The sequence below is a fragment of the Homo sapiens genome, chromosome 14, assembly GCF_000001405.40.
Source record: "Homo sapiens chromosome 14, GRCh38.p14 Primary Assembly".
Taxonomy (NCBI): domain Eukaryota; kingdom Metazoa; phylum Chordata; class Mammalia; order Primates; family Hominidae; genus Homo; species Homo sapiens.
The window spans coordinates 78,169,216-78,197,152 of NC_000014.9; the positions used below are offsets into that span (position 1 = coordinate 78,169,216).

The following is a 27,937-nucleotide window of genomic DNA, read 5'->3' on the forward strand; positions in this document are numbered from 1 at the left end:
TGGCTAACAGGCAGGCTCTGGAGTGGGATAGACTTGAGTTCAAATTCATTCTTAGCAGCTTCCAGCTGTGTAACCTTGGGCACCCTCTCTAAAGCTTCAACTTTTAAGACTGTGGAATGGATCTCAACTGTCAAATAGCACAAACCTCACTGGACTGAATGAGATGACCCACGTAGTGGCATATGGTAAGTGCTCAACAGCTATTAGTGGATTGGTGCTGGTCCAAGGGAGGACATGCCAGTGCAGCCCTTAAAAAGGGAGCTGGAGAAGAAAGGAGTTTGGGGCTGCATTTTCACATAAGGTGCCAGGGCCTGATGCTGAGCAAAACCTTTGTATTGGGTGCCACCGACTGTCATCTCTTGTTTAGGTTTGACTGGGGAAACGTTTCCACAGACATGAACTAGTTTGTCAAGGCTGGCAAGGGATTTTCAAGGGTTTAGGGGTGCAGTCTAGGCTCAGAGCTCAGAGTGCAAGCCACAAAAGAGAGCCATCTTCCTGAGTCACCAAAACACTTGATTCGGGCCTCTGACCCTTAGCTGGCAGCCCCTTAGGATAGGATGGGCTGTGCCTGGGTCTGTCTTTGCTGCTAGGGGCTCTGAGAGAGGAAGCCCCATTTGTCACTTTCATTTCTATGTCCCCAGCCCCTTGCAGTATGCTTCATCCTAAGCAGGCATTCAAAGTGCTTGTTGAAGGAATAGATTTGTGTCCTAGTTACAGCCCTGACTTCCACTAGATGCTCAAAGATTGCCCTGATTTTGCAAGGAAGAGCAACTACTCAGGGAAACTGAGGCACACTTGTAGGTTAGAGTCCCTCAGTCTGCAAGGAGACACACACATCCTCAGCAGTGGGGAAGTGGTTTGGTTACTGAAGCTGTAAATAAGAATTTTGTCTTTATATTAATTCCTACTCTGATTCTAGGGAAGAACTCTCCTCTCAGGCTGGAGTAAGGGGAGAACTGAGCTCAGACACTGCCTCTTAGTTGTGGGGGCTGCAAACTGCCCCTCCCTCATGATATCTTCTCAGCTGTTTGCAAAACAGTCAGGGAGGAGGTGAAGCCCTGAGCCAGGCGGCCTGTCTGTCTCTTTAAATGCTGGGGTCTGTGTGGGAGAGGGAGGGGCCGGCTCTGGAGTGCGTGAAATTCCTGGGCTCCTCCAGCAGTCTCAGGCTCAGCGCTCAGCCCTACACATCGCCTCTTGCATGCAACTCACAGAGAGGGAGAGGCAACCTGTCCTCCCCTCTCTCAGCCTCGGCATCTCCAGCCACCAAGGACCTGCTTTTCGCACCTCCAACAACCCCTCCCTTCTACCCTGCCACTCCCTCCCAGAGAGAAAGGAAAAGGAGAGAGAAAGATTCTGGAATTTGAACCTACCCAAAGAGGAAACATACCCAGCAAACTCAGTTGATTAAACATCAAACAGACATACAGACAGATCCCAAATCTTCTGTTCAACTGGAAAGGTAAGGTTTGCGGGGAAAGGAAGGCAGTCAGGGCATGAAACAACTCAAGGTTCTTGTCCGTTCTGGGAAGAGGTTGCTCCTGAGAGGGTAGAAGTTTTCAGTTGGGAGCAACCAACCTAGATTTTCTTTTTTGAATACTGTATCCATGAGCCTTGGCTGACTGTGGAAATGGCTTTTCAACTGCCTTTCTTTTCCTTCAGTTTCTCCTGGAAGTTGGGTCCTTTTCCTCCAGATGTTGGAAAAGTCAGAGAATGTTTTAGATTTTTATCTTCTTCTTCTTTTTTTTTTTTTTTTTTTGAGTCTTTCTCCTATTTGCTTGAATTGTTAGTCTGAAATGATGTGTGCTCATCACTTCATTTTGGGCAGATACTTTTTTTTTGACATTTTGTAGTCACTTCCCCCCTCATTTATTCATTTATTTATTTGGGCTGGTTAAAATGAGAAACAGAAAGGACACTCTGAGGATCACAAGAAAACAAAATTGAATTGAGACAGGGATTTCCCTAGCTGTTGAGGAATTGACGTGTATGTGAGTGTGTGTGTGCTTTTTTTTTTTTTTTTTGAGGGGGTGTGAGGAGGTGGTCCTAGAGTCTAAAAATTCAGGTTGGACTCCTGTCTTGTGAAGGTGGGCATACTTGGAGAAGGTGAAAAGGGAGTGTGTGTGTGAGTGTGTGTGTGTGTGTGTGCGCGGGTGTGTGCTCCTGTTTGGATCGGTTACAAGGGAATCTTCCTCCACTGCCTTCCATTTGTTTATATTAATGATTTAGTAGCAGGCTTGCCTGAAAACTTCCACTCTGTGTAAGCACTGTGGGTTTTGCAAGCTCTCAGTGACCTTAAAGCCTGGTTCGATGTATTGTTTTTTCCAGGCATTGTGCTGTACCCAGAGTTTCAGCTCTTTCCCTCTCTCTTTTTTAACCACAAAACTTAACTGCTTTAGAAACATCATCCTGATGACAAGGAAAAAAATGTGTCCCCCCACCCCCCATCCCTTCTTAGGCCAGTGATGTAATACCAACCTAAGGGCTCGGCTGCTTTGCAGGTGACTTACCCTGTGATTACTTGTTAAAAAAAAATAAAATTTTCCCTTCCTCCATTAAATGTCTGCCTCTTTTAATTTGGATGTAGAAATATCATCATGCAATGAGAACATCATATTTTTGCTAACCATTATTGGGGTTTAGGTAAAGTAGGATTGCTCTTCTCTGATCTTTATTGTTAATACTTTTTTTTTTAATGCAAAGGTCAGAGATCATTGAGAGCTAGCTTAGGATGGAGCAAGATAGAGTCAGGGCAAATAAAAGAGCTGGTAGGACAAGAGCTGTCTTCTCCCCGCTTCCTTCGGTTCCCGCTTTGGGGAGATAGTTTTTCTTTTACCACTACAAGCCACCCCAACATTCTTCTTTCTTCCTCTCCGCTGGGTCCTGTGGATGGCCCTGGGAGGGAGAGGGGGCACTCCTTGTCACACCTGGAGGATGGTGTAATTTTGGGGGTCAGATGACCGTTTGCCTTTGTGATGAAGGTTCCAGTGGAAATTTGAACTCCCAGCACGCTGCGTGACTTGGTACCCAGGATAGTCTATCTGGGGGCACCTGGAGGTTAGTCTGGGGAGGCTGGAGAACTGGCTCTTTATTAATTTGCCGTTCTGGGTAGAGCCTTCCTTCATCGTTCAAGGGCTTCTGCATCGCCTTTCAAGTTAAAATGGTCCCGCTGGTTATGATGGGCAAGTTTACCTAAGGGCTACTGGGTATGTGGCGGAAGGATGGAGGGGAGTGAGAGGAGGCAAGGCTGGTATTTATTTTTTAATCTTCGGGCTTAATCTGCCTAAGTCATATGGGGCAAACGATATTTCAGACGGGTGCTGGTTGTGCAGATATTCCTATTGTTTGATTTTTTGTTGTTGTTGGGGAGTGGAGTAAGGGCTCTTGGCCCATTTTCTGCAGCCTGAGGTTCATCCTGCGAGTCAGTCTTCCTTCTGGAAGGGGGGGAAAAGGCTGGACACTGGAAGTTCGCTATTAAAGTGAGCAACAGGGCTGGGTTTATTTTTTAAAAACAACCGGACTGTGCGAATGCCCTTTTCTGGAGCTTTCTGGCCCTTTCTAGTGAAATAATAATTTAAAAAAAATTGCTTCTTGAGAAGAGGAGGGGGCAGAAATTAAAGGGATTCTAGATTTTGAGAGACAGCTACGTCTTTGCTTCTCTGGTAGTTCCCTATTATTAATTATTGGGGTTTTGACGGCGTTCTGGCCTCCGTTTTTGTTGATTTCATTTTAGTGCTGCGTTTCTCCTGACTATGTTGATGATTTGCTGCTTATATAAGGGAAAGGATGTATTGAGGTGGACTGATGCTTGGGGTTTTGAGATCGGCTACTGAGATTGGGTGGCGGTTGGTGTGTTTGTCGATGTGCATGGTAGGAAGGTCTTTTCTTTTGGGTGGTAGGGGATGAGAGAATGGTGGGAGAACGGTAGATGAGATGCTACAGCAAACGGGGATGTGGGGGGAGACGGAGGTGAGGTTGGAAGTCACCGGTTTGCAGAATTTCTATTCTGCACCCCCCTTTCTCTCGCTCCTGGAAAAAAAATCCATTATCTATAAAAACACATTATTCTTCAATTGGCCTTTTAGAGAAAAAAAAGAGAGAGGGAAGGGAGGGGTTAATTTGGTGAGGGGGCTTGGTCGTAATTAGCCCACTGCTGCAAAACTGAGATACAGAAATCCATCGGCACCAGCTTTGGGGGCATGGAGAGGCAGCGGAGAGATGGGGGACGGGTTGTCAGTCTTGGATGAACAGTGGAGCGGTCGGGTTGGCGTCTGGGCATTGTGTGTGCTTGTGTCTCTGTGTGTGTGTGAAATTTTTTCATCCCACCACCAATCTCCCCCTCCATCCTCCCCCAATTCTGCCATGATCTTGCCTTCTATTTCCACACACTGCTCCCCCCACCCTAGGCGCACCCCCCCTTCCTCCAGCCCTTTCCATCTTCATGAAAAAAATTCTGATTTTGATGGCTCTGCGGCTCTTTTTTCCCTTTTTCCTTGCTTTTTTTTTTTTTTTGCAACACAACAGTCGTGCGATGGCCTTTCCTACATGCCACACGGATGCAGCCTTCTGATAGGAGGGCAAAGTCGGCACATCCACACACACACTGGCATACGCTCTTGCACACACAGTCTCTGTCACATACACAGGCGCCAAGGGCTTCATTTTGCTTGGTTTCATTCCCCTTAACCTCTTTCCCCACTCTACCTCCACCATGGCTCCTTCCCCCCATCTTTGCATGGGGACTGCGGTCACGTTAGAGCCTCTTTTCCTCTCCGCAACCGCGGTCTTCTTTCTTCTCGCCATTATTCTTTCCCTAAAGCTGTCGTGTGTCGCAGTTCATGGGATTAGCATGTTGGAGAGTCTTTGTGGGAGGGGACCTCACAAGCAGGGGATTGGAATGGGGGTAGATAACATTAATAATTTTTTTTGACCAAATAAGCACCCAGTGATAATGATCCAATTTAACCATCCATGAAATATATGTTTGCGGTACATTGGAGGAAGGTTATGTGGGGGAGGCAGAGTCTGACGGGGTTACCTCCGGGGAGATTTGATGCCTGGACAGTAGAGCCACAGCCCCCTCCCCCATACACATGTGTACACTCTCTCACACACACCAACACGCACAGCTCTGATCAGTGGGCTGTGTCGAACCAGAGGGCACTGCAGAATATCCCAGAGAGTTGTGATGGTTAGTTGGGAGGATGGAACAATGTCTTTGTCCGACCCAGTTCTCCTCTCTACAGATGATTCTGGGTCTTGAAATTCTTGGTGGCCTTTGTGTTGGTTTACGGGTGGGGACTGGAAGGGTGTTTGTGTTTTGTCAAGCACCAGCGTGCCTCCAATTGGACAACATAGGATTGTCAACACTGTGCGTGTGGTTCAAGCAGGAGGCTGCCTGCCTCTTTGTGTGGTGTGGCTGTGTTTGTTGGATATGTGCGTATCCAGCCTCATACGGTGGCTCTGGACAGGTGTGGTAGTGACGGGGAAGGAAGGCAAGAAGCAGGGATGGTCAGTGGGGAAGAGTCCTCAAGGTAGTTGAGAGGAGGGTAGAGGGGAAGAAACTGCTCCTGCCTCCAGCAGGAAGCCTCAAATGAGATCCCCACGTCCACCAAGCGAACCCGTGGGTGGGTGGCTCATGGATGACTGGTGGGCGGATACAGATTGAAGGGGGAGAAGGGGATGAGGTGGGTGAAATTGAGGGTTTTCCCTGCTGCCTTGACAGAGCCTGGGGCTGAGCTCGGGAGGGTGGTCTTGCTCCCCTGGCATCAGCCACCTCTTGGGCGGCTCGGCCTTGTTGGAGGCTGCAGCCTGAAGGAGCTGAAATCACCCTCGGCCGTGAGAGCAGCCCAGCCCCTGTTTTCTCCTGGGCTCTGGCTGCCTTAACTACCGGACGCCATTTTCCCATCTTCAGCTGAAGGTGTGTCTCTCTTTATTAGTAATTATAAGTGAAATTGGAAAACATTTTGCCTAAAAGAAAAAAATCACAAAATCCTCAGAGCAAAATGCTGATGGTCTTACCTTTCTAGCATCCCTCTCCCTTCTTGGGGCTGACCCTGAGGAGTTAGGGAGACAGGGTTACGTCATTGCCAGAGAAAGGGGATAAATGGGGAGTAGGATGCCTTGGGGGTAAATTATTGTGCCCAATGCAGAGAAGAGATTGTTCTTGGTATCCCCCGGCCGTGTTCTCCTTACATGACCCCTCAGGTGTGGATAGGAGACTTGCAAAAGAAGAAGCATTCCTTCTAAAACCTCACTGCCTAGAAATGTGCTGGCCCGTGGTCGGCTGTGGTCTGGGACCTGCTGTGGTCCGGTTCCTGCTGTGGTCCGGTTCCTGCTGTGGTCCGGGACCTGCTGGGGGAAGAACTGTTGCGCTGCAGCTCTGAGCCTTGAGGGCCAGCTCTGTTGCTCTGAGGATGAAGCAAGTGCGGTGCTGTGGCTGGGCCAGCCACAGGTGGCCATGCTGGGCTCGGGGCAGGTTGGCCATGCTGAGCTCGGGGCAGGGACTATGGATGGGGCCCACTCCCAGCCCTTTCCTGCAGGTTGTTCCTCAAATTATACTCCTCAGAGAGACCTTTCCTGACCAGCTTTCTAAAATAGTCCCCTTACCCCAACCTCCTGGCTGCTTTCCAGCCCATGACACTGTCTTTAATTTTAATCGGTGAATCATTATTTAATATTATATTATACGATGATATATTGAAACATTTAAGATGGATCTCGTCTCTTTACCCCTCTAGAATGCAAGCTCTGAGAGGTCAAGGACTTTGTGTTCATTGTGGTGTTCCTAGTGCGTAGGACATTTCCTGACACGTAGTAGGTGCTCAACAAATGTTTGTCGATTGGAGGAAAGAACCACATGGGTTTAGTGTTGGAGTTTTCTTCTCTAGCACTTGTGGCCTGTCTTCTGGGAAGGGTGGACTTTGCCTCTGGTTGTCTTAGCCCTGCCTGAATGTCTAGATCTGCTGGAGGAATTGCAACATGCTCAACTTCAGTAGTTTAGTAGAAAGGGCTTCTCTATCCCTGGCTCAGATGACTCTGCCTCCTTTGAGATCCCTCTAATATTAGTAATCACCATTCTCATCATCATCATAGTAGTGGTAGTAATAGTCGTGATATAGCTATCATTTCTGCAGTAGTTACTATTTACAAAGTTCTCTTCCAAGTTTTTTTTTTTTTTTTTTTAACACTCGGTATCTCATTTAATTCTCCAAACAACTCAATGCAGTATACTATTATTACCTGAGGAGACTGAGACTTAAAGTTACCTAATAAAATGACAGATCGAGGATTTGAATTCAGATCTGTCTCATGCCAGAGCCCAAGCATGGGACCCTTATGTTATAGTGTTAGAGGAAAAAGGGAGATGAATCATCTGTCATCTTATTCAGTGCCCTCAAGTACAAATGACAAGATGGAGGCCCAGAGAGACTACATGGCTTTTCCAAAGTTATGCACCACGTTTGATGCAGAGACAAAACTAGAATCAAGGTTTCCTGGCTGCCAGGGTAGGGCTCTTTCTACTCCATCATGCTGCCTGGTGGGCTGTGGGCCCTTTTCCAAGGGTATTGCAGCTGCTGCTGTGGGGGCTGCCTGGGGTGCCTTCTTAGTTCTCTTTCTTCAGAGGGGAGTGAGGTCTTGGTGGGGCAGGTGGGTGGTAGGTGTGTCTCTAAGGAAGGCACACTTGCAGAGCTAGAGGTCAGGGTTTCATGGCTCGAAGAAGACTGGTGGGCTATATTCCAGCTGAGTGGTGGTTAAGGTTGTCTTCTGACCTTCCTGGGGGAGGAGAAACTGGAATGGAGGAGGACCCCCATTCCAGTGGGGTGCTCAAGGTTCTCAATCCCATATAGCCCTGCCCGTCAAGGGTACTTTCAGGTCCAGCAGAGGCTCCATTCAGAGAGCCAAGCAGCTGGTATCTGGATGCTGACGACTCTGGGAGCCTGTCACTTCTCCTAGACTGGCCTAGCCTTCTTTCTCACGAAGGGAAGCATGAATCCAGACATTGGCCCCAGTGTGCTTCATTTGTGTTTCCAGAGGCTGGTTGGGGGGCATGATGTCATACAATATGGGTGAAGGCCTTCTACCAGTGTCTCTGTTCCACTCTAGGGTTGGTCTTGACCTTGAATGGGAGAAGGATTAGACATTCTAGACAAGTATGAATGTGTGTTTTTTTTTTCAGGGGTGGGGTGGGGCCAGAGAAAATTGGATTCTGAGAAGCAAGGAAGTCTTACCTTTAGCCAAGACCTTGAAGCAGAGCATGAATGCATTTCTGCATGACCTTGAGATGGTGTAGCCAGACGCCCTGGTGTGGGGAGACAGTGTCTGTTTAGGCCTTTGTCCTAGTGTAATTAGTAACTCTCAAAAGTGTCCCGGTTTGGATGATAAAATATATGGCCATCCTTCTTTAAGACGACATCACACACTTTCTCTTAAAGGAATAGAGAGAGGAAGGGGGCATACTAGAGAGAGAAATCCAATTTTAGGGCAGGAAGGTGACTGAGAGTACAGCCTTTCCCCAGCTCTACTTTCACTTACCCCCACTTTCTGAAGGATAAAAACCTGGATCTTCTGAGTATTCCTACTACCAACATGACTACTACTTCTCTCTCAACTACTCTTACTCCCATCCAAGAACTAACCAGGCCAGACCCTGCTTAGCTTCCGAGATCAGATGAGATCGGGCATGTTCAGGGTGGTATGGCTGTAAACCCAACTACTTTTACTAAAGCTTCGATTGGCCAATATTTGAGACCTGACTATGGGCCAGATACTATGCTAAGCACTTGACATGCATTATCTCACATAATCCTCCAACAATCCTGTGAGGTGGGTACTGTTATCATCTCTGTCTTACAAATGAAGTAACTGAAGCCTAAGGAGGTTAAGTAACATGTCCAAGGCCACTCAGGTAGGAAGTGATGACATCATGATTCAAACCCAAAGGGCCTGGCTCTGCTCTGAAGCCTCTGGTCTTAACCACTGTTTCGTACCACCTCCATGGGCCTGTCCTCTGGTTCCGCAAGTCTGGAAACTTGATTCTAAGAGCTGGCCCATTTGCCAGGCAGTCAGCTGACTCACAGCTCTGGGACTTGCTGAAGGTGCTGCTGTCAGTTAGAGGCATTTCAGGCTTAGGAGGAGGGGGCTGCTGGTTGTAGCACTGCTGCTTAGGAGTAATGCTGCTGGTTGTCTTTTGCATGGCACTAAGGAAACTCTGTTTCCCAAGGTGTCCCCGTTACCTTCTTCCTTGCTTCATGCACCTTGTCTGAGGAGGGAGTTGAGGTGATTTGGGGTGGTGATAGGTGGGCAGAAGGTAGAGAACCTGAAGCCTATTTGTCTCTGCTTTGCTGTGTCGCCCTAAACCTGCATGGGACAGCCACACTCCCCATGGCCCTTGCAGCAGGGACTGGCCCTCAGCGTGAGATTTCAGTGAAAGGACAATTATCCAGCACCTGCTTTGAGCAGGGCATCATGCTCTGCTATTTTTCACTTAGGTGGGTAGTGTCCTCATTTATCTGTTGAGGAAACTGGTGATCAGAGGGGTTAAATCGCTTTTTTAGGATTACACAGTGAGATCCTGGGTCCACACTTGGGTCTGAATCCAGGGACTCTGCACCACCCTCCATCCTGAATCATGGAGAAGAGGAGCTGGGAATTGGATCATCTAAAACTGGGGGTAAAAGAGGAAATACTCTAGACAGAGGTCTTCCAATCAGCTCCTGAGGTCTGGATAGGAACTCTGGGGATCATCATCCTTATCAGCCACCTCTAGGCCTGCCTCTACCCCACACCCACAGGGGAAGACACCTGCTGACCCCTGAGCTGGAGGGGTGCTGGTTCTGGCCTGGAGAGAAGGAGGAGATGGGATCATGCACAGCCTCACTGGTGGAGGCGGGATGTTCAGAAGGAGTTACCTCCTTCCCCCGTGGAGCAGGAACATGTGCACTGACAACATCCCCCTACATCTGTGTCACAGGATAAAGGGTGGGAAGGGATGCCAGGTCTGCTGCCTAGATACAGGCAGGGAGGATGCACAGAGGGAATGAGCGGGATCCCCCAGGCTGGAGGACTCCAGGGAGGAAGAAGGAACTTTTTCTTGGTGGAGAGGCAGGGAATAGGAGAAGAACAGTTTTCTGACTGAGAGGATGGTCTGCAGCCCCTAGGCTGAGCTGCATCAGCTTCATTGCAGTCCCATTGAAGACTGTGTTTATTTTTTCCAATAATGTGTTAATTAAACATCGATTTCTGGGTGGAGGAAAGGGAATTGGATTGCCAGAGCTAAATGGAGTGTGGCAAATGGGGAGCGGTTGAGAGGGGCCCCAAGCTGGAGTCAGCATTCTCCAGTGGCACCCCAGGAGGGTCGGAAGGGAACTAGGGCTGCCTCTTCCCCTGGCTCCAAATTTGGAATTGTCAACTCTCCCAGAGCCTTCAGGAGGCACCTTTCCTACTTCTTGGGTGCCAGGGCAGGTGGAGAGGGCTCTTTGCTGAACCCCAGTTCAAGGAGGGAGGAACAATTATTCTCCACCTTCCTCAGCATCTTTGGTTTATAGAGACTGTGTACCCAGTCTCGTGTTCAGCATGTGACATATATTTGTTCTTTGTTTTTTTTTTTTTGTTTGTTTCTGTTTTTTTGTTTTTTTTTTTTTCTTGTTTTAGACAGAATCCTGCTCTTGTTACCCAGGTTGGAGTGCAGTGGCTTGATCTTGGCTCACTGCAATCTTTGCCTCCTGGGTTCAAGGGATTCTCCTGCCTCAGCCTCCCAAGAAGCTGGGATTACAGGCATGTGCCACGACATCCAGCTAATTTTTTTGCATTTTTAGTAGAGACAGGGGTTCACCATGTTGGCCAGGTTGGTCTCGAACTCCTGACCTAAGGTGATCCACCTACCTCGGCCTCCCAAAGTTCTGGGATTATAGGCATGAGCCACTGCACCTGGCTTGGTTTTTAAAATAAACATGGGGGAGGGCGCTTTTATATTCCTACTTTGGAGATGTGGAAACTAAGGCTTAGAGAAGTAACAAGTTCAAGGTCAAAGAGTTGGCAAGGTTTCACAAGAAAAGGAGTCCTAGCGGAGTTGAAAATATCTGAGGTTGGAAGAACAGCCACCTAGAGTCCCAAGCCCCTTTAAAGGGAAAAAAAGAAAAAAAATGAAGCATCCAGTAGTAACAAAAAGAACCATTTGATATTTTCTCATTGGCTAAGATTGGCTGAGCTGCCGCTGCATTAAGTTAAGTGCTTTGCATATGAAGTTGGGAGGATTCAGTGAATAAGTGTTAGGCAATCATTCTCGTTGTACAGGTGAGGAAAGTGGAGCTTGGGGAGGTTAACTATCTTGCCTGTGGCCGCAGAGTTGGTAAATGGTGGAGCTGGAATAAATTTCTGTAAAAAGGATGTTGAGACCTCTACAGCTGTGTTCTATTGTCCCATATACACTGAGGACATAGACACTGGCTCAGGAAGTCTCCCATGACTTTTAGGAAATAAAGATGTGGAGGTCTCAGGATGGACCCTCTGGCTAGATCCTGGGCCCCATAAATCCCAGGGTCTTGCAGTGTGGACTCTATCATCCCTTCCTTTCTCAGCCCAGGGCAACTCAGGCCCAGCCTCTGGTGGAGAAAAGCCTGTTTTGGGGTGTTTGTGGTGGTTGGAGCTGGGTGATGAGTATAAGTTCAAGCTGTAGTTCTCAAACTTGCTGCATATTGAAATCACCATATTAAAATTCCAAACCCATGCTGCACCTCACACCAACTAAATTAGACTCTTTAGGGACAAGAGCCTGTCCTCGGTGTATTTTAAAGCTTCCAGGTGATCCCACCAGGCTTGCTAACTGATAGTTTGGAACAGCCTCTCCTGCAAAGCAGGTGTTGGGAGGCTGGCATCTCTTCCAGAGTTAGGTAAGTGTGGAGGTAATTGGTCACACACATGTAATATCCAGTGGGGCAATGTTTATAGTGTATTGATCAGTTTTTTTCTCATTAGAATAACAGCTTTCAGACTTCGATATGCCCGAAATGCCTAGGGAGTTTTTACAAAACGGGTGTCTGCAGGCCCCACCTATAGACCTAACTTAAAAGTTCTGAGGTGGGGCCCAGGAATCTGCATGATAAGCAAGCATCTTCTGTGGCCAGGTGAGGTGGAGATCTCTAGGGGTAGCCCCGGGTCTCCTTTGTTCCATGCACTTGTGAAGTCCTCTTTCCTTGGAAGGGAGTGCAGGCTGAGGACATGGGTTGCCATGGTCACCTGTTGCTCTGTGAGGTTTGGTCTCCTTTGCTCAGGCCTGGCTATCCATTGCTGACAAAGAAAGCTGGTTTGCCTGGCCTGGGTCCCTGCTGCCCACTGCAGTGACTCTTGCTTAGTGCCTTGTGTGTGGGCAGCCCTCAGGGAGGAGGGGATGATCCCAACTTAGAAATTCGGCAGACTGCCTTCTCAGTTTAAAAAAAAAATCAGAGTAAATCTCCGCACAACTTGAGTGTTCAGGAGCCTGTCAGCAGCAACCATCCTGAGTCTTCCCCCTGGGATTGGTGAAACAGCTACTTTGGGGCTCATTTTAAATTTTTCTTCTAAAGCTGTCACAGAATAGAGAATAGTCGGAGACTCTCAGAGCTGGAAGGGACCTGGGTGATCACTGTGCCAATGCTAATATTCTATTCACTTTTTCATTCATTTGTTCATCCAGCAGATATTTATTAAACACCTATTATATGCAGGCACTATACCAGGTGCTGGGAATACAGCCACCATCAAGAGAGACGTTTAGTTTATCCCTGATGGAATTTAAGCTTAGGTGGAAGGGCAAGCGGTAGACAACACAAGTATGTCTATAATTACACATTATGATGAGTGTTCTGAAGGCAAAGTATTGGGGGGCACTGAGAATTAGAGAGACCTAATTTAGAATGATGGGGCCGGGGGGGACAATGATAGCTAAAATTCGTTGAGCACTCACCGTCTGCAGGCCCTGCTGCAAGGGCTTCACAAGTATCACCTCATTTAATTTTCACAATGGGTCTTGGAGAAGAGCTAATGTTATTATTGTTGCCTTGTTACGGAAGAGGGAACTGATACATGGAAAGGTGCCCAGTCTGGAACTAAAACCAAAGCTTGTAAGGCTCTCCTACACTTAACATCCCACCGAGATGTTTTTGCTGAGAACTGAAGGACAGATGGGGGTCAGAAAAAACAGAGAAATTAGGAAAGTACTGATAATCCTGGCCACGTGTGGAGCTCTTAGATGCTAGGCACTGTGCAAAACACTTTATCAAAATTATCTGTTTTTTGAGATGGAGTTTCGCTCCTGTTGCCCAGGCTGGAATGCAATGGCGCGATCTTGGCTCACCGCAACCTCTGCCTGCCGGGTTCAAGCGATTCTCCTGCCTCAGCCTCCCGAGTAGCTGGGATTACAGGCAGTGCCACCAAGCCCAGCTGATTTTTTTGTAGTTTTAGTAGAGACGGGGTTGCTCCATGTTAGTCAGGCTGGTCTCGAACTCCCAACCTCAGATGATCCACCTGCCTCGGCCTCCCAAAGTGCTGGGATTACAAGTGTGAGCCACTGCGCCTGGCCTATCAAAATTATCTCACCACATCCTTTCAGCAGCTAGGATAAGTAGGAATTCTTATCCCTTTTTTTGCAGGTGAGAAAAAAAAAGTTTTTGGGAGGTTCAGTGACTTTCGATAGGAAGCAGCTGGGTGTGGCAGAGCTGAGTCTGGAGCCAGGGCCTCTTGTCTCTGGGCTTCTGTCTGTGCGATGGCACAGTTCCCAGGCGGCGGACATCTCTGCATCCTGCCTGGACATCACCTGCTGGGTAATGCTAACAATGGCAGGTTGGGAGGCAAGGAGGATCCCCCACAGTCCATTGGCCTCTTGTTCTGGGCCTGGGAGAACCCAGAATAAGGATGAAACAAGGGACGTCTTTAGGGCATGCCGGCCCCTCTGTGCTGAAAGGAAGCTCCATTTTTCTTCCTTCTGGCAAGAACCATCAGGCCAGCCCTCTTCCTGGTCTGCTGGCCCTGGAAACCCTAGTAAATGACTTTTTCAGGTAATACCCTCCATTGCCTTTTTTCTCTCCTCTTCCCTTTCATCCCTAGTTGCTAATTAGTGAGATGCTTGTTACTTGCAGTTTTGTGTCCCACCCTCTGCGTGGTGCCTACTGGAACACTGTCCCTGCCTGCTCACCCAAGTTGTGTGGTCCCCTGGCCCAACTGAGCTGACCAGTAGATGTGAGTGTAGGTAGGAAGAAGTACAGGGACTTAGTTATGAATTCTGTCTAGAGCCAGGAGAAGGAGGCAAGAAGGTGAAGAAAGAGAAAGGAGATGTGTCAATGGGGCATGATAAAATATTAAATTCCTGAAAGGTTTGCCAGGATGTGGAGTTCATTTCTTTCATATCCATTCCCAGTCCTGCAGGTGAGTGAGTCTGCACATGGGGACAAGTGCCCCGTGAGATAGAGGTTCCTCTATGTTCTGACTGAAATCTCTTCTGGGGTTGAAGGGCTGGTTCTGGCAAGGGGAGAAGCTAGAAGTGGGCAGGCTGGCTTTCTGTCTGTTTTTCTTCAGGTCTTGGGGTAAAGGGAGCTCCCTCCATACTGGGCTCTGATTCTGATGAGACTAACATTTGAAAGCAATAGCTTGACTCTACAGATTTCTGAAATCAAGATAGAAAAGGGAAGGTGGGGAAGCTTTCTCCAAGAAGGGGCGGATGTGTGGGAAGTAAGAAGGTTGCCTCGTGTGTGGGTTGTAGAGTTTGGATGACAGTCACTTTTTTCTTTTTTTGTACATGTAGTTATTTATTTATTTTACAACAATTAACTCCTTACAAATGTGAGTTGATGATTTTCTTATTACAAAATAATATATGTTTGTTATAGAACATTAAGAAAACACCAAAAACAAAAATAAGTCACCTATAAATCTCCCCGCCAGAGATAACCAATGGGAGAATTTTGATATCTATCATTCCAGCTTAATTTCTAAGCATCTGCAATCCAGGGTGTGTTATTTTGTTTTTAGAGGAGTTCATTCACTCATTTAACAAGTACTAATTGAGCGCCCGCTCGATGCCAGGCACTGGAATCACATTTTGGAAGCTGTCACACTAGCCTGATTTTTCACATAAAGATGCATCACGAACACTTTTCCACAACAGCCACTCATGTCTTTGAGCTTCCAGATTTAGCTTTTGGGTGTAATGAGGCAGTTGGCAAATTTTGGCATCTCAAGTCTTATGTCTTAAGAGGGAAGGAAACACTGCAGGGCTTCTCTCTCTTTGGCGTCTATGGCAGTACCATATTAGACTCCTAGGGAGAAAATGTGTCTTTTTACTCAGAAAATAAGAAAGGGAGAGAAGCTGTTTTAGACAGTGGGAAAGACTCTAACCTTTTATTTAATATTGGCATCTGGCATTTCTCCAAATGAGAGGTTTAGAGAGGGAAGGTTCCATTTTCCTCACAGAATCTTGACTCCTTAGAGAGTGCATAGAAATGTAAAGCCTATGGCTAGCTCACCTCCAGCGTAGAGATGAGGACCAGGAGTGGCTAGATGACTTGTCCAGGGACACACATGTGGTTGACAGCAGAGCCGTGTCTGGAGCCTGGGGAGCTGAACTAGGGAGTTGCGCAAGTAGTTGGGGCAGATTTGGTAAAAAGTGGTCCAGCCCTTGCTGGGTGGATGGAGGAACCCTGCTGGTGTTGCTCGAGTTTGGATGCTGTGCTTAAAGGAGGTTTATGATACAGATTTGATTTCTTCATCTCTGAGATGTACATCTGGGGCTGTATAGAGGACTGAGGAGTGAGAGAGAAGAAGGGAATGCCTTCTGCAAAGCCACTGCTATACACGGACCAAGCTGGTTGAGCTGGCACTGTGTGGGCTTCCACAAATTCAATTCTGCAAGTATCTATTGGACACTTCCTTTGCCCAGGGCATTGCATTTAGTGCTAGGAATACAGAGAAGAGTAATGGTTGACATTCTTTAGTGGAGGATGATATGAATGTACCTAATCACTGCAGGAGGCCTCGATCTATTATAGGATAGAGGGAACCCAGGGGTTTCGATGGAGGGAGTAATGACCTCCTGCCAGTGAAGGGAGTGTGAAGAAGTCTTCCCCAAGGAGGTGGAATTTAAAGAATATCAGCAGATGTGGAGAGAAGGACTAAGGATGACAGGCCAGGGAAGTAGCATGATGAAAGGAAAGAAATGGAGAGATTCCTCCAAATACACAGGGGATCAAAATTTCCAGCACATGGGTGGAGGGCTGAGTAAGAAATGGGGCTGAAAGGGTATGCTGAGTCAGGGTTCTGAAGAACCTGGAATGGTAGGAGATTCAGTTAGGATGATCCCTATTATAAGAATCCTAACTTAATCTGAATCCATTGAGGAATTTGTAGGGGATGGGGTTCACATGAGTAAAATTTCAGGTGATGGACCTCAGCTTTGGGTCAGTTAGGGGTGCCTGATATAATCTCAGCCTAGGCTGGCTCTGCTCATGGGAGTGAAGTGGTCTGCAGCTTGAGAGCTCACACCAGCACACCTCACAATGAAGATCTGGAGAGAATGACTTGTCCACCAGCCACTGAACAAAATTCTCAGGCTTTATTTTGGTTGGACCAACATGGATCAAATATCTGTCTTTGGACCAATCACAATGGGATGCTCCTGTAGCTAGACCATGGGTGGGGACTAGAGTGGACTTGGGGAGATGCAAGAGAGTGAACACAAGCATTTGGACTTTAGTCTGTGTGTCCTTGGAGCATGGTATGTATTGGTGCATGGGGTGGCTTGTTCATCTTTGTGGTAATAGAACTCCAGGGGTGGTAATGTCCCTGGATTTGGCAGAATCAGGGACAGGAAGGACACTGCCTGGCTGACACTGGCTCTACTGTCTCAGCAGAAGCCACTAAGCTGGGCCATAGAGCCAATTCTAGAATCTAGTCCATGGAGGTACATTTGACACATCTTGGCATTGGGCAGGAAGGAGGAGAGGCAGAGTGAAAGGGTGACAGTAAAGGACCCAGCCAGTCTTCGTTGGTCAATGTTGTTCTCCTATGGTTTTCATCACTCTTCAGAGAAAAGAGGCTAAGAATCTTTTAGGGGATCCTGAGGGTTGGTGCTTTCTGCAAAATACCTCTAAAAGGCCTTGTGGCTTCCCAGGCAGAGCCTGAGGTGCAGGAACCTGAGTTCATGCTTTATGGATTTGAGTCTTTTATTCTTTTTGCAGCGTGTACATGCATAGCTCCTCTAGGATTGGCTTTGATTGATAGTTGCCTTTGCAACATTACCATTTCCTCAGGGATCTGATGTCTTCAGAATCGCTGCGCTGGTTTCCATTTGTATTTAGTGGGCCCTCACTGGGTGGTTATGCGCTCTGGACTATGTTTGGAGAATTAATTTGCTTTATGCCTCAAAGTCAATAGGACGCTTTTTGTTTCTGCTCCTTGAAATGGACGTAGAAGCCTTTTTAATAGGGGGTCCTCTCCCTGAGCTGGCAAAAGAGGGCTTTTCTGACTTGGTGATTTTCCTCCTGTGTGTGGATCTGTTGGGGTGGCTGAAAACTAAGCTGCAGTAGGGGAGATAAAAGGGACAGGATAGTGGTGGGAACATGATGCTCCCTGATTTCAGATGGTCACACTGCTCTAGCTGGCTTTTGGGAGAGCCCTAGACTTGGAAGAAAGGGGATGCTGGCAAAAAAGCTTTGATTATCAGCTTTGTCATTCCTAAGCCATATGACCCTAAACACTTGGCTTTTAAATTTCAGAAAACAGTCATGGAATACCTGCATGCCAGGACTATCTTGGACATGTGCATGCTTCTTTTTTTTGAAGTAGCCCTAAGGTGACAGTGAGCATGACGCTCGGAGTTATCAAGGGGCTACTTTGTGCATGGATTGTGCCCAAGCTTTTCGTGTGCTGTTCAGATCGTCATGAAGCCCCATGAGGCAGGTATTAGTGTCTTCACTTTACAAATGACAAAAACAGAGGCTCTGACAGGTTAAGTAATTTGCCCAAGATCTCTTAGCAAGTATGTGAGGTGTAAATCTGAGAGATGTTTTGGTGGTGTGTGTGTGTTTTTTTTTTTTTTTCCTCAAAGCTTGCAATGCTCTGGGTTTCAAGATGTGGAGGGAAAAGCATGAGCTTTGGGGTCACTCATGCAGACTTGGGTAGGTAACTCCCTGCTTTTTGTTTACTAGTTGAGTGATTACCTCCTGAGTCTACATGCCATTCAGAGGTAATACCATCATCTTTGTAGTTGGGGATGGCTTAGAATCAAGTGACATGTGCAAGGTCATCTAATCTAGTAGTTGGTGCAGCCAGGATTGGTACCCACATGGTCTGATGTTAGAATCCACACTCAACACTTCACATCACTCTGGTTCTGGTATATAGGAGCTGTGGCCACAGTAATAACGATGGCCAAATTCTGCTAATAGGAAGTCTTCGCTTCTGGTGATGGATGGAGCAGGCATGGAGATTTTCTTTTCATTTTTCTCTTTCCTTCCTAATAACCTCTACCAGGATTTTCTTGGAAGTAGGAGCTGAAGAAGTGAGAGTCGGGGCTAACTGAACTATTAGGATTTTAGTTGTTTTTTTTTTTTTTTTTGAGGTTGGGTGGGGATGTGGGATAGGTTGAGGCAGGAGGTACGAGAACTCATCAGATAGCTGAGTGGAATATGCTAGAAGCTTTCATGTGTACTGTGGAGGAAGGGGAGTCCCTATGTAGAGTTGGGAAATTTGAGCTCTAATTACAACTTCACTACCAATTCACTGTATGCTCTTTAACTTTTCTAAAATGAGTATTCGGTAAATTAACACATAGGGAGCACTCGGGCCATGTGACTGTCCTCCACATACTCCTGCACAGCTAATATTGTCACCCTGGCTTTAGAGATGGAGAAACAGGATGGATTAAATGGCTCATGGCTCCCCAGCTAGTAAGTGTTACATCCGGGACCAAAAACAGGACTGCAGGATTCAAGGTTTTTCCCCTATAGGATACTTGTGTTTAGAAAAAGATTGTAGTCTAACTCCTTTTCCACCCCATGACAGTTGGGGAAACTGAGGCTTAGAGGTCAAGTGATTTGATCAAGATCCCACAGTGTGAGGAGCCATCTGAGATCAAGGTCATGGGATCTCCAGGTCAAGGTTACCTCCCACCTGGAGCGCAGATGTGATTCCAGGGAGGGAACTGGAAAGACTGATAGGGCATTAGGGATACAGTACTGTGTTTAGAGCCTGATTTCTGGCTCATTGGAAGACTGGGGGGCAAATCAGGAAACCAAGGCAGAAGCCTATGTGCAAGGCTAGACAACCACTTTGGGGTCAGATGCCATGGAAAATTGGGCAACAAGGACAATTGCAGATCTTGTAAGTAGGTGGAGCTCTGCCTACAGATGGGGGAAGGTATGGGCTGCTATGTTCATTGAGTTCTTGGCAGTGTGGTTATTATAATTTGGATTTCTTAAGGCCTAAGACATAGACTTTGGAATCAGAGCAGCCAAATGTGAATGCAGGTGAGTTCTGTGTGTGCAAACTTGGGCAAGTAATTTCCCTTCTCAGAGTCTCAGATTTGTCATTTACAAAATAGGAATGGCGTCATACCTACCCTACGGATTCCTACGGGTTGGTTGGGAATATTGAGGAGTTATCAGTAAATTATCTACTTTAGTGCTCTCAGAATGATGTCTGGCCTGGACCTCTCGCCAGACTCACTTTGTGTATGCATCTGCTTGATCACCATCTCTACTTGTGTGTCTAATTCTAATTCAAATAAAATCTTTCTTGCTTTAACATCTTTTGATTTTACCTCCTGCCCCAATCTGCTCCTCCCAGACTTCTCTATTTTAGAAATAGGCAACTCCACCCACCTAGTTGCTCAGACCTAACAGACTTAGAACAGTTTTCAACTCCTTTCTTGCTCTCACATCCCACATCCAATCTACCAGCGAATCCTGTCAGCTCTGCCTTAAAAATGGACCTGGAATATGACTATACTTCTTACCTCTGTGGTCCAAGCCGCCCCCACCACCACTTGCCTAGATGTCTGCAGTGACCTCCTTACTGTGCTCCTGCTCCCACTCTTGACTCTGTGCATTTGTTTCTCCACTCAGCAGGCTGGAGTGATCCTTTAATAAGTAGGTCAGATCATGTTATTCTGCTCAAAACCCTCTGCTGGCCTCCTGTTCCACTCTGAGTAAGCCCCAAGGTCTTCACAACCACCTGCAGTGTCCCCTGGGCCTGGCCCTGGCACCCAGCACCTTCCTGCCCTTCTGCCTCCTCTTCCATTCTTTTGCCTCTTCTGACTCAGCCATGCTGGCCTCCTTGATGCCACTTAAACTCTCTGATCCCAGTCCCACCTCCAAGCCTTTGTCCCGGCAATTTTCCGGGCCATTTTTTTTTTTCCTTTTTTGAGATGGAGTCTTGTTCTGTCGCCCAGGCTGGAGTGCAGTGGTGCAATCTCGGCTCACTGCAACCTCCACTTCCGGGTTTGAGCAATTCTCCTGCCTCAGCTTCCCAAGTAGCTGGGACTACAGGCATGCGCCACCACACCTAGATAATTTTTGTATTTTTAGTAGAGATGGGATTTCACCATGTTGGTGAGGCTGGTCTCAAACTCCTGACTTCAGGTGATCCATCCTGGCCATTTCATGTTCCCAGGTCTGTGCATAGATGAGCCTCATTGTGGAAGTCTCCCCCAACTACCCTTTCCACAACAGCACTTTCCTCCCCTAGCACTCTGGCCGTCCTTACCGTACTTCGTATTCATAGCCCTTGCCACCATCTGACGTGTTACACATGTGTTTATTTTGCTTATCACTTGTCTCATCTGAATAGGGTCTCATCACCCTGAAGGCTGGTTGGGGCTTTAACTGGTTCACAAACAGCACCTTGTACATGGTGAGCACTCAGTGAACACCTGCTGAATGAACAAATACCTTTCCTTCCCTCTTCCACAATTGAGGCACATTGTTACATTGGGCCACTTCTTGCCTAGTCCTTGAGGGCCAAATGAGAATGTCTCACCCTCCTATCCTCAGTTCCCTTTCAGGAACTACCTTCCACAGACAAAGCCTGGAACTTTCTCATTTTGAACAGGAATACCTGTGCCATGTGCATTGCAAAATAACAACACAAACTAGAAAACAACAAAATTCAGAAAACAGAGAAATTCATAGAAAAGAAAATGAAGATCACCTGGAATTCCACCTCCCAGAAAGAACCACTGTGACAGCCGATGCCCATCTTTCAGGCTTTCCTCTAAGTCACAGATTTCTTCTCGGGAGAGGATTGGGAAGAACATTATACAAATGAGCATATCATTGAGGAAGCTGGTGACAGAATGACAATGACAACCAGCAGTGTTGTCTGATAATGGTGGGACTGGGAATTGGAAGAATGCAGCTTGTGTCAGTAACATTTATTTATTTATTTATTTATTTATTTATTTATTTATTTATTTACTTACTTACTTACTTAATTACTTACTTACTTGCTTACTTACTGAGTCTCACTCTGTTGCCCAGGCTGGAGTGCAGTGGTGCGATCTTGGCTCACTGCAACCTCTGCCTCCCGGGTTCAGGTGATTCTCGTGCCTCAGCCTCCCGAGTAGCTGGGATTACAGGTGCCCACCACCACACCTGGCTAATTTTTGTATTTTTAGTAGAGATGGGGTTTCACCATGTTGGCCAGGCTAGTCTCGGATGCCTGGCCTCAAGTGATCCACCTACCTTAGCCTCCCAAAGTGCTGGGATTACAGGCATGAGCTGCTGCCCCCACCCAGTGACTCTCTTTTATATATGAAAGGAAATCGATTTGTTTCTAACCAGGTAAGCGTCCTACATAAGGGAAGACAATGAAATTTCCTCAGAAAAGTACAAGGAAAATTCATTTTCCCTTATTTTTCAAAGCATCTGCTTGGATAGAGCTGTAAAACCAGAAGAACTGTGTGTTTCATTACAAGCAAATTCACAACTGGTGGGGTGTGGGGCTGGGCCAGGGGGATGACCATTGGTGAAGGACTAACTTACATGTTTCAGAAGCTTTACACATGGTAGTTAACTCATTGCCTTCTCATGGTGATCTTGTGAGGTGGACTTCATGGGTTGCATTTTACAGACAGAGCATGGTGGCTGAGAGAGGTTTTATGGCTTCCCTCGGTATACCCCTTTACAAGTGTGATTTGAACCTAGACTGACTCCAGAGCCTGTATTTGTGACTGTGATGAAACATGCTTCAGAGCAGTCAGAACGGAGGGACAGACGGGCCAACATGGAAGTGCATTTGATGAGGCTGTGGGAGGAGGCTGAGACCTTCCCAGGGAGGACCCCTGCAGGCATTGGCCTCCGCTGCAATAGTCCCTTTCCCATAGCTCCCCACCCTGATCTAGAGTTGCTTGGCTGTGTGGCCAGATAGACTGGGAAAGCCTGGTTTCATCTCTTTGGCTTGGAAGTTTCCTTCCAGACATGTCTAGGGCTGGTGTGATGGAGGTGGGAATGTGGGAGTGGTGCCACCAGTGTGACTGAATGAGGAAAATCTTGAGATGGAAATGATGGGGGAACCAAGCAGACCCCTAGGTCACTCTTTAGCTCAGGGCCTCTTGTGGCAAGTACCACCATGCCGATGGGTCAGAGTTCCAGAAACTGGGATGAGCAGGGGATATTAAATCATCCCTTCCCCTCTTTGAGCTGTGTGCCAACTCCTGGGTATCTGGCCCTGGTGAGGGGGGGAGGGTGGTCTGTTGCACTCATTGAGATCATGCCAGCTGGGCCAGTGGACTGAGGTACAAAATCCTGGTATTCCTGTGTGGGGCTGCCACGAGGCCCCTTTGGAGAGATCTGAGCTATATCCCTGCCCCCTTTGGCTGCCCGAAAGTGTGTGTGTGTGTGTGTGTGTGTGTGTGTGTGTGTGTGTGTGAGAGAGAGAGCATACATGTGTGCAAGTGTGTAAGTGCAGGGTGTGTGTTGTCAGGATATTGTTACACTGCCTAAGGGCAGGAGATGGCTCCTGGCTATTAATACTGCTCAGATGTTAAACTGATACGGGCACTCAGATCTTATCCATAGAGTGAGGAGATGCCTGTGGTGTCATTGTCACTCCTGAATTTTGAAACCTGTCTGGGAAGGAGGCAGAGAGGGACTCAACTCAGGTAGTGGTACAGGGCTTGGGGTGGGGTGCTTATTTATGCTTTAGCTGGATAGGAGATACTGAACTCACCATTGCTCTGCAAAAATAGCCTCTCTCCGTTCTGTTTCTCAGAGAAAAAGAAGACTTCTTGGATTTCATTCAATTCAACAAATCTTTATTGAGTACCTGCTGGGTTCAGACAGTGTAATAGGTGCTGGAGATGGAGTAGGGGTAGCAGTTGTGGGTGACAGCTGGCAGAGTCAAGACATATTTTGGTGATACTCTCTGAGCAGAGTTGATGATGGATTGGATATGAGGATGAGGGAGAGATCAGTGTGAAGAAGGACTCCCTGGGTGTTGATGTGAGGAGCCATCAGACGCTTGGCACCGAAATTCCTCTCCTAGAGAGGGTGGTGTGGCTCCAGAATGCTGGGGCAGACTTCAACGCAAAAACTGCACAAAGAGGGCAGGGGTAGGAGAGGCCCTGGGAGGTGTTAGCCACTGAGCTTGAACCTTCGCATTTTTCTCTTTCTTAAAAGAAGTTACCATTAACCAGTACTTTCAATTTCTTCTCAACCTACCCAACGCCTTCTACCTTCCTGATACCCCACCTCTAATGGAATATGGGGAGAAGAAATTGACTTATTTACAATATTTAGCAAGCTGAGAGAAAGTTTAGAAAGCCTGTTTGGCTTGGGACCCCAGAAGGCAAAGAGGTCCAGGTTCAATTCTGAGATAGTGGATATTATTGTTGCGGACAACTCCTTAAGGTTCTTGGGTAGAGCTTTAAGGCCATGAGAACTGCATGATTCAGTGCAAGCAAATTCATAACTAGGGGGGTTTGGGGCTGGGCCAGTGGATAAACTTTTCTTTCAAACAATTATGGAAGATTAGTGCTAAATTAAACTTTGGAGCTTGTCTCATTTAACCCCTCATTCTGGAAATACTTGAACTGAGGCTCAGAGAGGTTTAGGATTGCATAAAGTCACACAGCAGGTTGGTATGGCTTGGCATCCAGATGCGATTTTGCTTAAATAACTGTAAGTTTGGGTAGGGGAGCCTGGAAAAGCATCACATGAAAGGCTTTTAAAGAGTCAGGGCAGTGTTAGGAAACACAGGCTAGCCAGGGAGTCTGCTGGAGGGTAAGGGCCTATGTCTTACAAACAGAATTGGCTCCTTTTACTAAGAAACTTGAATATCAAGCACAAATGGACTGAAGAGGCCAAAGTTAGGTGTGATTCAAGACCAGCCGGGACAACATGGTGAAACCCCATCTCTACTAAAAATACAAAAATTAGCTGGATGTGGTGGCGCACACCTGTAACTCCAGCTACTCAGGAGGCTGAGGCATGATAATTGCTTGAACCTGGAAGGTGGAAGTTGTAGTGAGCCGAGATTGTGCCACTGCACTCCAGCCTGGGTGACAGAATGAAACTCTGTCTCAAAAAAAAAAAAAAAAAAAAGTTATGTCTGAACTGACCAGAAGACAGAGTTCAGAGTTCAAGGCATCTGGCAGCCCCTGCCCTTGGAAAGCCCTCCTGCCAGGCACTGGACCCATCAATGCATGGTGGCTTGAGGGCTCTGCCTTTCTCTCTCTGTACCTCACCCACCTGTCCTGCTAGACATGGTATCATAGTGCCCATCCTCTGCGGCTGGCTGCTAGGCTAACTCTCCCCCTCTGCATCTGGACTCTGGCCCATAGGCATAGAAAGGGGGCTGTGTCTATACTCCATCTAGTCCAGTGGAGGTAACGCACGCTGGGTTTGGAGCGAGGACATGATGTGCGACCCACATCGGTCCCTTCCATCTGCATGAAAAGGATTTTCTAGATGCAGTGGGCTGAGCACAATCATGAGAAACCACAGATTCATCCCATTGCAGCCTTGCTTTGGCGTTTTGATAGGCAACGTGGTGTTTGAGAGTACAGGACTGCAACATTTTTCTTTGACATTTACCATGGAGGCTCATATCTGGTGCTCCTTATGTCTGCCCAGGAGAGTTGGGAGAAGGTCAGGGCAGTAAGCTCTGGTGAACATCTTGAGGTTAAACTCAACCCATTGCTGGGGAGTCCAAGCTCTGAGAGCCACCTGTGTGAGTCTTTTGATCTCTGATGTGCTACTTCTCTGAGTTCCAGTGAAGCTGTTGCTCAGTGGCTCAGAGTGTGGGCTCCTAGAATGTGTGATCTAGGTGAGGTCATTGCCACCTTGACCCTTTATAGTCAGGGCCTGGCCTGCCGGGCCTGGCTGCATCTGGCAGAAGAAGGGAGGACCCGCTCATCTACCATGGTTGCCTAGGGCCTTGGGAAGAGTGGGAGAGCTACCTATGCTGCGGGTGGGTTAGAAGGAGAAGGGTGGGGTGAGCCAGAATGAGCAGAGGGGCTCCAGAGGCGGATGGCTACGGACAGGTGGCAGTAGTTGCAGAGGAGAGAAGGATGATCCAGCATGCTAGAGTAGATATCTCAGTCTTGGTCCTGGTCAGGCCAGCATTTCAGCCTTGAGCCCTCTCAGGGGCCCAGCCAGCAATCTACGCCCCGGCTGGCGCTGACCCCCTTGGCACTGGTTTGAATGCCATTTGTCTTTGTGTCTAATCTGCAACGTGTGCAGATGCAGAAGTGGCTCAATTGATGACCTGTCTTCTGGAGCACTCAGGGGATCCTGGGAGGCTCTCTTGCTCAGACATTTCAGAGGTGTTAAGAAGCCCTTGGTGGAGATCTGTGTGGGGAGGTTAATTATGACTGTCCCCCGACCCCCCACCCTTTTTTTTCCCTGTCTGGTAACCTTGGCTTAATTTAAGTAAGTTTTAAATTTCAAGCTGAGATAATGTTTAAGAACTGTAGTTCTTGAAAAATTAGCTCTCAGGGAAAGAAAGAAAAATTAACCCGAAGAGGCCAGTATGAACCAGGCACTGTGCTAGGCATTGTTCCTGGTGTCATCCATTTGTTTCTTCACAGTGACCCTGGAGGGTGTTTGTTTGTTTAATTGCTCGATTGTTGGTTTGTTCATTCGTTCGTTCGTTCATTCATTCATTCATTCAATGTTTGTTGAGTGCCTAAGATGTAGCACTCAAGGCACCATGGTGTAGTGAGTACAGGGAAGATCAGGCTTTCTGCTTTCATAGAGCCATGATTCTAGTGAGAGGGGTGATAGACAATAAACACATAACAATTAGATAATTTCAGACAGAAGTGACTGCCAGGAAGGAAATAAAACAAAGTAAAGGGTGGGTGTGTGACTTTAGAGAGGTGCGGGGACAGCCCATCTGGGGAGATGACATCTGAGCTAAGACTTGAGGGATGAGAGAGCGAGAGCAACGGAAGAGCTGAGGAGAGCAACTGCGGGCGTCTTGGGTGGGCGTGAACTAGGCTGGAATGAGAGAGACTGTTTTGTTTGCTCCATTTTCCAGACAAGGAAACTAAAGCATAGAACCCAGCTTGTCCATAATTACCCAGCAAAGTGGAAGAGACCTTTCTCAGTCCAAACCCATGGTTTTTCTACTATAACCTGTTGCTGTCAATAAACTGCTAGCTGGGCTCCATTGTAACCAAGTGCTTTTCCTGCATCATCTTATGTAGTCCTTGTAAACTATCCTCAGACCTATTTTACAGATGAGGTAACTGGGCTTTGGGTCAAGCACCTTATCCATGGTCACACAGCCAGAAATCAGAGAATGTGGGATTCAAACTCGGATCTGTATGACGAACCCGCTGTGGCTTGTCACCACAACATAGGATGATAGATTCGTTTCCCATGGGCCAAGGAATATTTCCTCTCCTTTTAGAGTTGTGGGAGTTTGAGGCTTTTCCCACGTCACCCAGCCAGAAAGTGTGGGTCTCCCACCTCCTGGGCAGGGCTCCTTCATCTCCGAGTACTGCCTTTGTCCATGTCTGGCGGTCATGAGGGACTGTTTGGCCATGCCAGCACCACTCAAGGGCCTATTTGCCAATGTTTGGCCATAGAGGGCAAATTCTCAATCTTAGACAAGGGCTCCTTAAAAGGTAAATTATCAGAAAATAGACACTGAGCACCTGTTATAGGTTAGGAATTATGCTAAGCATTGGGAAAGAAAATAATGAGGTGAGTTTGGTTTATCTTGGTGATGAAAAGTATAATCTCCAAGGGTACCAGAAACACTTGACCCCACTGCCCTTCTTGTGCTGGGTAGAAAAGACCAGCTGCGGTCTCTGCGCCCTAAAGGATCTCACAGGCTAGGTGGCAACAGAGAGCAACACATATGACTGTAGTATGGTGTAGCAAATCTCATTCCTTTATCATTTTAAAAATCACTCTCTATTGAGCTTCTCTGCAGGGAAGGTGCTGCAGTAGGTGCAGGAGATACAGTGGTTCAGAGGGCAGACAAGGTCCTGTCTTTATGAAGCTCACATTTGGGGGAAATGAAAATATAAATACAAATAGGGATGAAGATATAAAGGAGAGGTATATGGCGCTATTAGAACCTAATGGGAGGTCCATCTTAGTTACACGGGAGAAGGCTTCCTTACAGATGTGCTTTGACCTGACGGATGAATTGGAAGCCTGCGATCAAGACAGCCCTAGGTTATTGGGGGAGCACCAACAAAGGCACCTAGCTCAAGCTGGGAATATAGGTTAGGCTTCCTCCAGATGGAGAAGTCAAAGTCTACTGGTGAGAGGATGGCTTGGGTTTGGAGCTGGAGGATGTTATGACCAGTGGGAGCCATGTGTCATTTGGGTACCATTCCTGCTTGCTCTCTTTAGGAGACCCTCCTGCTCCACAAACTGGAGCTGCGGAAGTGTGGCAGTTTGCTTGTATCTTCTGTTCTCCACCTCTTTCCTTTGAGCTCTGCCCGTGGCTCTGT

The 27,937-nt window shown here is 47.4% G+C and overlaps 1 protein-coding gene and 1 pseudogene across 51 annotated transcripts in view; one reads left to right on the forward strand and one right to left on the reverse strand.

The window, feature by feature from the left end:
- NRXN3 (neurexin 3) overlaps nucleotides 1,158–27,937 on the forward strand; it is a 1,697,919-nt gene continuing 1,671,139 nt past the window's right edge. For all 51 annotated transcript variants that reach the window (NR_158973.1, NR_158975.1, NR_158974.1 and 48 more), the window contains exon 1: nucleotides 1,158–1,459. The gene's annotated coding sequence lies outside the window, so the exon portion shown is untranslated. The remainder of the gene's footprint in view (nucleotides 1,460–27,937) is intronic.
- RNA5SP388 (RNA, 5S ribosomal pseudogene 388) lies at nucleotides 8,588–8,706 on the reverse strand (annotated as a pseudogene).